The following is a 10,256-nucleotide window of genomic DNA, read 5'->3' as shown; positions in this document are numbered from 1 at the left end:
GATATTGGGGCTCCAGGGGGAACTTAAGGAATGATCTAGGTCTTTTCTCTCTCAGGAACCACTCAAGCCTGATGATACTGAATCCTCTTTTATTTATTTGTACTTACTATTTTCTTTAGAGACGGGGTCTCACTCTGTTGCCGAGCTGCAGTGCGGTGGTGCAATCATAGCGCACTGCAGCCTTGACCTCCTAGGCTTAAGCAATCCTCTCGCCTTAGCCTCCTGAGTAGCTGGGGCTACAGGTGTGCTCTCCCTTACTCAGCTAATTTATTTTTATTTTTTGTAGATACGGGTCTCACTATGTTGCCCAGGCAGGTCTTGAATTCCTGGCCTCAAGTAATCCTCCCACCTCGGCTTCCCAAAGTGCTGGGATTACAGGTGTGAGGCACAGCACCCAGCAGAATTCTCTTTCAGAGAAAATTCCAAGGCCTTGATTTAACAACTGTTGCTGGGAGAAAGTTCTTTGAATCATTCTGATTAAGAAATCTGCTTCTCCTTTCACAAGTGGCCATCAAGAACAGCTGGTTTTCTAAGAGGCTTCCGAGATTTGAAAAACGGTGGCTAATGATGACAACAGCAACAGCACTGAGCACAGAAAACTCCACAGGCCTGGGCTCGGCTCATCGCACAGCCTCCATCTCTGGATGCCCTGTGAGGGTTCTGTCATTATCCACATTTTAGAGATGAGGAAACTGAGGCTTAAAAGGGCTAAGTGACCAACCCACTGACACAGCGATTCGAGCTTAGGCTGGCCCATCCCAGACCTGGACTGCCCACCTCTCTCCCCTTTCGCAGCCGACCTGGCTGCCAGCTCTCGTCCTTCCTCTGCGGGGTTTGGCTTTTCCCTCCTCTCTTCCCCAGGTGGTCCCGTCCCGGGCACTGCCTCGAGTCTCACGGTGTGCAGGGCCAGGCAGACGAGCTGCTGACTGCAGCTTCGCTGTAATCTACCGACTCTAACGGCAGCTCAGCTCGCACGGGGCTAGCACAGCGAACACGTGCGCACGGGGATGGGCGGAGAACCGAGTGACGACAGCAAAGAGCCAGGGGGAGCCAGGAAAAGCTCGAAAATCAGCGTAACGCTGTTGGAGATGAGAGGGCACAGCACAATTTTGAGAGCCAAACAAAGGCGGGGCACAGAGCTGTTGCCTCGAGATGTGTGGCCTCAGAAGGTCTTGTCGAGGCGAGTGATGAAAGGGAGGAGGTTCCCGAGGATACTGGAGCCGGAAGACGCGGCGAGGGTCCGGGTTAGCAAACCGGGCAGAGTCAGAGGCCCAGGACGCCGGGCCCTGGGGGCGCTGTCGCAGGGCGGCGGCGGAGGCCGGGGTGGTGGGCGCCCCGGGGTGGGGGGAGGCGGGAGTGCTCTCCCAGGTGGGCTTGGAGGGGCCCCGGCCCAGACACCCAGGGCCAGCCGGCGCACCCGCATGATGTTCTGAAAGCGTCCCCGCAGCCTGGTCGGTGGCTGGGGGAAGCTGGGCGTGGTTAGCCTGGCAGCCTGGCTTTGCGGACTCACCTCCGGGCCTCGTCCTCCAGTGCCTTCCCTCCCCAACTGAGGGGCTTGGCTGCACCCGCACGCGGTTTTCCAGGAACAGCGATCCCGGAGTGGACTCTCCCGCATCCAGGGGGACGTCAGCACTCTCGGCTTCCCCATGGGGACACACTCACTGAGGTCACGCGACCCAAAACCAAATGACCCACCACCACGACAGCCGCATCGTTTTTAGTGGTTTGTCCGGGAGGTTTTAGAGTGAGAGAATGAAGGGGGTGAGGCCTGAGGGAGGGAGGCGCATGGAAGCCGCCGCATCTGACTGTCCCAGGGTGTGCCCAGGCCCAGAGATGATGTCCAGACCCCTGAAGGGAGTGAAGCGGAGGCCCTGCTGGAGGCAAAGGTCAGCGCGGCCTGATTAGCCTCCCACGGTGACTTGGGAGGTGACTCGGGAATCCGGGCCCTCTTCTACCTGTGGCGCCGTCCAGCCCTGGTCCCCCAGGCTGTGGCTGCAGCCAGTGCGTGTAAATGGAAGAACCCCGTGATGATTTTTCCTTGGGGGAGATAAACCCATGGATGGGGTCTGGAGCCACAGGGACGGTGAGTAGCATGCAGGATCTAAAGCTGCAGAGCAGAGAGGTGAAGACAGTCTCCCTCCTCCGTGGTCCCTGGATCTGGAGAAGCATGAAATGTGCCCGGAGTCTCTGGTGCCCATGAGGCGTTGTTGGGGCAGGAGGTAGAAAGGTGGCATCAGTGGATGGGTGGCGTCCCATGTCCTGTAGCCGTCACAGGGGCCAGTATCCAAATGGAACCCACAAGTAACCCAACATTCCCAACAACTGAGGGTATTAGCATTGTGTTTAAACGTTTTGGGCCTGAATCAGACAGTGCAGGGTTCCAACGCCCACTTGGTCAGTTTTAAATGGATTCTCTGCAAAGCAGTCCCGATGGGTAGGACTGGGTGCAAGTGGTGAATGTGGTCCTGGGAGGCAGCTGCGGGGAGGGGATGTGAGAGGGAGGGAAGCCAGACCGGGAGTGTGCATTGACACAGGTTTCCACTGTGGGCAACAGGGGCTCACACCTGCTGGGGACCCCCCAGGACCTTGTGCGGATCACGCCTCAGCATTGTCTTGGCTGGCAGGTGGGGAAGCTGGGGTCTTGATCCACTAGCACTAAGCGGCTGAGTCTGCCCCGGTGGTGTTAGCCCCTTGGCACTCCCACCTGCCCTCATGTGGGCTTGGTTGGGTTCCTGGGCAGAGTATGCCTCAGAGACTCGCAATTGCACGGTTGGGAGGATGGGGCAGCTGCCCTGGACCCTGCCTCCCCCACTGCCCATCCTCTCAGTTTCTCCTTGCATGCTGGCAGGATTCTGAGAGCTTTGCCCAGGGGTAATGTGGCCTGGCGTGGCCTCTGCCTTCCTGCGTGGGGCTCCCTGGTCGTGGAGTGTGCATTGCCGGTGGTGAGCCAGCGCGTAGGGGCCTGGACCAGTGATGCATGGGGGCCAATGAGGGAATGCTCCCCTTCCTCCCCGGGACCATTCTCAGACACACTCCCAAAGGCACACAGAGGGGCTGACTCAATATCCCACCCCAGCTTTGTCAGCTCTGCCTCCCCAGCCTTACTCCTGCCCCCTGGGGTCCCTCCAGGGTTGACAGCCTGCATCTGGCTGGGGTCAGGCTCTGCTCTCTGGGGACGGGCTGCCGTGATGACAGTGCTGAGCTGTTTGCATTGGTGCCAGACTAAGGGAGACCTTCTGGAACAGTGTGGGTGTGGCTTTGTGGGCATGCAAGGCAGGGCCATGGTCTTAGCTGCATCAGCACTGTGCTGCAGGGTGAGAAAGGATGGGCGAGGCATCCAACCCTTCAAGTGCATCAACAACATCCCCACATCCAGTTGTAGTCAGAGAGCAAAACTGTCGAGGACAGTGGCTGGACAGGCACAGGGAAAGTCCAGGAAGGTGTCACCCACTGATTTCTTCTCTCCATGCTGGGGTTCATGGCCACAGTAGGGACCAGTGCCAGAGCTCCTGGGTATCCCCAGCAGTTCCTTGCTAAGGGGATCATGGGGGCAACTCCAGGGAGGGCTCTGACCTCAACACAGGGGCAGAACACTTGGGATCCACCTACAGTACCTTGTGATGTTCTAAGTACCATCGAAAAGGTAAAAAGGAAACAGATTCAGCCAAATAACTAGTTGTTTTTTTCTGTGCTATTATTGCAAAGTGTTAACTATTTTTTAAACTTCATATTTTGAAATAATTTTAGATTTATAGATGAGTTGCAGGCATAGTACAAAGTTCCCAAATACCCTTTACCTAGTTTCCTCAAATGTTAGCAACTTATATAGCTATGTGACATTGATCCAAACTAAGAATTCACCGTTGTGCAATGCCATTTACTAAATGACAGACTTCAGTTGGGTTTCACCAGTTTTTCCACGAATGTAATTCTTCTATTTCAGAATTGAATCCAGGATGCCCTGCATATTTAGTCATCATGTCTCTCTCCTTAGTCTTTCATTTGTCACTCAGTCTTTCCTTGTTTTTCATGACTTTGAACTTTACAACTGTACATTTACTAAAAAACTGAGTTGGCTGAAAACTAGGTTGGTGGTTTTATTTCTGGGACTGTGCAGACACAGCAATGATTTGGTCATTCTGGTACAGGAATGGACATCTACGGTTTTCCTGGGCATGGTGCAGTGCTCAAGATTTCCAAAGCCAAACTGCGTGTCACAGTTGTATGTACACGTGCCTCGATGCACTTCTTGTTGGACTGGTGCTCCTGTGAAAACAGACAGCAGTGGGGTGCTAGGACTGCAGCTGAACTTGGTGATGGTTGTCCTGAATACTTGTGCTTTGGTAAAAAGGGCACATTTGAGTCCCCACAAACCTACTCACTCCAGCATGACACAATGTGGCTCTCCCTCCTCCCTCCTCTCTCTTCCCTGCACTTGTGTGGCTTGGCCCATCTCCTCCTAGAGGATTCCCTCTCGGCTTACGCTCCCCTGCAGATGTCCAACTAGTGGCTCCATGCCAGTCTGGGCTGTGTGCGATGTTCCCTTCTGGGCCTTATCACTCTGCCATACACGGGTGTCCAGGCCTGCCTGTGCCCCCTGCACAGATGTAGCCCTGTGGCACTGACCGAGAGCAGCTCTTTGGGTTGCAGAATCGATTCCTCTATCTCCTTTTGGAGTAAGTGTTGCTCTCCACGTGGATGATAATCAGATTTTCTCTCCCTTTGATTTTATGTTCATTCGTGTTTGTTCCACCCAGATTCGCAAAGGAATTATTTATTTGTCTTTAGAGTTCAGTAATGTTCCTAGCCTATGTCTTGGTGCTGGTCCTTTTGGGTTGATATTCTCAGGTACTCACTGTGCTCTTTCAGAATGTAGTTTCAACTTTTTTTGTTGTTGTTGTTTTGTTTTCTAAATTCTAAATTATGGGAAAGTTTTTTTTTTTTTTTGCCATTGCAGAGTTCAGTATTTGTTCTGCTATTTTACTTCAGGTTTTTTCTCTAGATACTTTATTACCTATATGCTGAATCTTTTTTGCCTATTTGTCATTTTTTATTTTTTCTTTTTATTTTTTCCTTTATGTCTTTATGACTAAAACAAATTTCTCCTATTTCTCTCAATGCATTGACTGCCTGTTATTTGCCCTTGTGTTCCTTCCAGTTTAGCCCTCATTTCTGAGATGATTTTCATTTGTCCTGAATTCTTTCCCAAGTCATCTTTTTTCCAGGTTTCCCTTGCTTCTCTCTTCTCCCTCCACACAGACGCTGGTATCACGCAGGGCCGTGGCCATGGTGGTCACCTCCACTTGCTTTTACGTAGGGCCTAGAGGGTGGGGACTGTATCATCTAGTTTTGTTGTTTTTGGCCATTTGCCCATGTGTTTTTGGTTTTACTATCTAATTTCCATGTTATTTTTGTGTAGGATTCAAGGAGATTCAAAACCCGTGTCACTGCTGCCATCTTCCTAGAATCCCTTTAAATCCTCATGGATTTGCTGACATTGGGAGCATCCTGAAAGAGTCCCCATGCTAGGGTGGCTGCAGTAACAGGTACAATGAGAAATGATGGTGAGTCCCATAAATGCCCTCAATTCGACTTCCTCTGAGTACAACCTGATAGCAAAGATGTGCAGGAGGGAAGTTAGAATGGTCTCAAATAACTGTGTTTATAGTTTACTGTTGCAAATTTCACAAAAACATATGACCACATGAACACATTCCAAGGGCCCCTCCTAAGACCTTGGAAAGGGCAGCTGTCCACCATTTTGATAAAGATTAAGTAGATCAGGGTGTATCCATAAGATGTAATGGTATGCAGCCATGGAAAATAATCTTTCTGAATTTAAAAATAATCTTTTCATAATAATGAATGTGCATTGTAGAAAATTAGAAAATATAGGTAATAAAGCATAAAGAAAATAAGAAAATAACAATATTTCTGCCACCCAGAGGTTATCACTAAATGTCCTTCCACATTTTGACATACTTTGACAATGTTGCATGCAAAGTGAAAAAAAAGTCAGTTCAAGTTGCACCTACAATGTGATATTGGGTTGTGAAATTATGTATGTTTTGAAAAGTATTAAAATACAATAGACCAAAAATGTTGACAGGGCTTATTTGTGGATCATAGGCTTAGCGGTGATTGTTATTTTCTTATTTCCTATATTTTCCACCACAGGAATGTAGACTTTTATAATCATTAAAAATGAATTATTTAAAAAAGTAATTATGGTGATTTCAGAAGTGAGGTTTGGTTGTGAGTGTGTTTGAAATCGGATGAACAGCTTATTTTGTGTCTGCTGATTATGTGTCTGCATTATGTTGTTTCAGGTTCTCCCCACTCCAGAAAAAATCAAATCAGATTGTGAATTTATTCCCTGACATTAACACACGGCATTACAGGAGCATGTACATCACATGGTCAATTTATTGGCATGAGGATTATGTCATCGGGGAATAAATGGGAAATTCTCAAGGTACTTTGCTCCAGTAATCAGGACTTTATTTATCTCTAAGCTAAAAGAGGGGATTGACTTCTTTAATGATGATCAGAAAATGCTTTTAGGAAGATTCCTTTCCTATTAAACAATTTCTTAAAGTTGCAGTAAATGTTGTGTGGCTTGTCTATGCCCAAGGCTTGGCAGCACACTTTCCTTTGTCTTCAAAACCATGGGAAAGAATGTCACAGGAGTCTTGGAGGAAAAATAATTACAAAGAGGAAAAGGTTGATCAAGGGCCAGTTAATGTTACTGATGACATATCGGTAAGGTTCTCCAGGCCCAATTCTTTTTGGGGGACTTTGGCTCCACAAGCAAATGCCACTTGGTGATATGGCTCCCAGCACTGGCCACCTCAGTGTTCCCTACACTACTGGAGAAATTTAGGCCTAAATTAAAATCAGAGTCATGCAACTTGATTATATTTTGGCAGTTTGATTTAAGTGCAAGTTCTTTGAAATGTAAGGGTGTGATTGGTTTTTAGTGATGTAAACTAAAAGGTCTGTTACTTCCAGGTGGCCCAGGCCTGTAGGCTTCCAGTGAGAAAACTGGAGACCACACTCACCCGTCCCACTGCCGTTTCTTTGGGGCTGCCTGTGATACTGGGTTATTCCCCTTGCCGAGTTCCACTGTGCTTACCCTGTTGGAATATGATGGTGGACTTGCCAGAGGAGATGACCATGATTTTCAGGAACAGCAGCCCCTCCTTCCTGGTTGAGGCAGCCAGCAGGCACTCCTATCCATGAGCCACAGCTCAGCTAAGGCAATCCAGTCCAGCTGCATGCCCTCTCTCTGCTTCTGGGGAGGTAGGAAGGACCAGGGGCATTCATGCTTGTTTCTAGGGGGCCCTAACTGGATCTCTGGATCAAGACCTACTCAGGGGAGAAAGACTACTCTGGGTTCCATGTTAGGACTGACGGGTGCATCTTAACTGAGATGCAGACAGTGGACAATTCGAACTCTGACCTGAGAGCAAGCCCCAGCCTTGGTGCTCATAAATGCTCCGCTTGGTCCTTCACATTTGTGTTCCACACAGGAGAAGCCAAGTTGTGAGCAGTGCACCTTCACAAGCAAAGCCTCGACTGAAATCTTCTCTAACAATTGGCTGGTCACTCCTGAGCGTAATCTACCCCTTCAGAACACTGGGGATGAATTTAGAGACATCGAAGCCTCCTGATGAGAAATACGTGTCCACTCACCGGGAGAACTGAAATACCAGGAGATTTCTACACAAATCTCACAGAGTCCTTCTGGCGTCCTAGGGGTTTGCTCACATATAAGGGACTTTCTGGTAGGAAGAGAGTCTCTTTACATTCTTTATTATATGATCCTGGTGGCTTTGTAGAGAGATGGTACAGCTGACAGATCATGTCCTGTGGGGCCAGGGAGTTGTGTGTGTGTGAATGCTCTGTGAACTTGGGCAAACTACTTAGCCTCTCTGAGCCTTAGCTGCATCAGCTTTGAAAAACAGGATGATAAAATGGAGTCACCTTATTTGACTTTTATAAATACACTTACACAATTACACAAGTTGTGGGGATGGGAAGAGAGAGTTGGGGAAAGAGAAATGAGAGAGAGAGAGAGAGAGAATGAATGATAAACAATTTAAACAACAGTGGGGTGTAGACCAACGCCCAGCCTGGCAAGGGTGAGCCCAGAGAGCCTTCCCTCCTGGCTATTGGCAGCCTCCGCATGGAAGCCTGTCGTTGACTTCTTAATGATGAGAGATGTTCTGGGGGCACTCCAGGATTCTTGGACATGGGATCGTCTTCACAGCTGTGTCTATTGAAAGCTGAAGTTTCAGTCTCCCCTGCCCCCTGCCCCCTGGAGTGGCTTCCCAGGGGAAATTCAAGGGCACCTGTGACTGCATGGCTGCTTTCCTTTCCTTTACTCAATGCCGTCCTTTGGTGACAGCCGTGTCTCATGCCAGGATACATGAGGTGCTCTATAGTAGTATGTTTTCCCTCCTGGGAGGTAATTTTATTTAAATGTGAAGTCAAAAGGATCACTAAATAGAACCATGAGGCAACCACTCTGGGCACCTGCCTGGTGATATCCACAAGAGCTGACCACAGGTGCCCCCTGTGCCCAGCAAGTCCTTGGCTGGGCAGTCACACAACAGGCATGGGGATGTGTGGCCACCAAGCCCTCCAGGGCAGTGCTATTTGTAATAGTCCCAAATGGGAGAGATGGCAAACGCCCGCCAATGGGGCAGCATGGATAAATGGATGCTGCACAGCAACGGCGATGAGTGAGCCCCAGCACCCGTGAGCTCACCAGTGTAATATTGGGTGGAAGAAGCCAGGAGGAAGGGCATTCACATTCTGTGATTCCAGCTACACTATGTTTAAATATGGGCAGAGCTAGGCTGTGGTGCTGGAAGCCAGGACAGTGGGATCCTTGCATGGGGGTGATGGTGCTGGTAGGTTCTGGTAATTTCCTCTTCTTGATCTGGGTGTAAACATTTTGTGAAAATTCAATGAGCTGTACATTTATGACTGGTACATTTATGACTTTGTATGAATATTATACTTTCATAAAACTACTTTAAAATATGATTGTGAACCTTTTTTCACCTATTTTCTGCCAATTAGCACCGAATTGCTCACTAACTAATGAGTGGTGCTGGTTTTGACTTGCTTGCTACACTGTCTTGAGACAGATAGGGTTTTCTGTGCTTTGTATGACCCCCTCTGGAACCAGGGTGGGACTGGGAACACTCGGAAAACATGTGCTGACAGATGCTGGGCATCCCCGTGTTGGTGGAGGCATGCTCATTCCTCAGCAAAATACCCATATGGGGTGTTGGCAGGAAAGAGGACAGAAAAGGACAAAGTATTTGTCTCTGCTAGCGTTCCTGGAGCTGTCTCACCTTGGCCAAGCCCCCGCCCAGTCCTCTCCTAACGTGGACAGACTAGGGGGCAGAAACTAGTCAGCCAAAGAATTTCCAAGCTAGGGGTTGATGAATGCTTGGATAATTTGCCCATGAACACGTTGGATTCTTCTTCACTTGCCATCACGGGGGGATAAGTACCCCAGTTTTTTTTTGGAGAGAATTGAGGGACTGTGCCATTGCAGTGTGGATTTCAAGAGATTTTAAACGGAAGGCAGAGTAACAGTGTGGTTTGGGAAGCTCTAAAGACAGTTGTCCTGGTGCGGTTTCTTCCATAAAAGAGTGGGGACGCCATGGACCTGCTCACCAAATTCCAGTCCCGACACAGTTCTGTGAGGCACTCTCCACATCAGGGCAGACGGGCAGGAGGAGTTTACACAGCGATCTGGGGGCCATTAGAGCACTGAGGGATCCATTGCTGTCTCTTGTTTCTGTTTCCCACACTGTGCTGGGTGCTGGGAACATGACGATGAACTTGAAGGAAATAATGTGTACGGTGGTTCATTTCCAAGACATAGTGCCTTGAATCAGTTTAGGTCAGCAAACTACAGAAGAAACAGGATATACTAGGCCCCTGCTTGGAGAGCTGATGCCTGTTTGTTGCCCCTCACCCCCTTAGTTGCCCTTACCAGAACCAAAGGAGTTTAGTCTAAGATGAAAGTTTACTAGCCTGCAAAATAGCTCACTTTGTCTGTTCTTATCAGCCTGCCCAGCTACTTAGGTCATAAGTGAAATACTTGAAGAGCCCCTGAGCTAACTAGGATTGCAATGCATTGTGGCTGCAACAAGATGCAGCAAGACAACTGTAAAGAAAATGCCTAAAACCCCTACCCACCAACCCATAGGCGATGTCCAGGAAGACTGTGA

General features: G+C 49.1%; 1 long non-coding RNA gene across 3 annotated transcripts; it reads left to right on the top strand.

The window, feature by feature from the left end:
• The first annotated feature begins 1,052 nt into the window (after positions 1-1,052).
• LOC284798 (uncharacterized) lies at positions 1,053-9,045 on the top strand. Of its 3 annotated transcripts, none has more exons than NR_027091.1 (4): positions 1,053-1,886; positions 5,420-5,564; positions 6,330-6,475; positions 7,012-9,045. It is a non-coding gene; the product is annotated as an uncharacterized LOC284798 (long non-coding RNA). The 3 variants fall into 3 exon arrangements; NR_027092.1 differs by having other exon boundaries at positions 1,118-1,244; NR_027093.1 differs by having other exon boundaries at positions 1,850-2,083.
• The last annotated feature ends 1,211 nt before the right edge of the window (positions 9,046-10,256 follow it).

The sequence above is a fragment of the Homo sapiens genome, chromosome 20 (genome assembly GCF_000001405.40).
Source record: "Homo sapiens chromosome 20, GRCh38.p14 Primary Assembly".
Taxonomy (NCBI): domain Eukaryota; kingdom Metazoa; phylum Chordata; class Mammalia; order Primates; family Hominidae; genus Homo; species Homo sapiens.
Note: the sequence above shows the minus strand (reverse complement) of the source record. Positions and strands in the feature narration are given on the sequence as shown.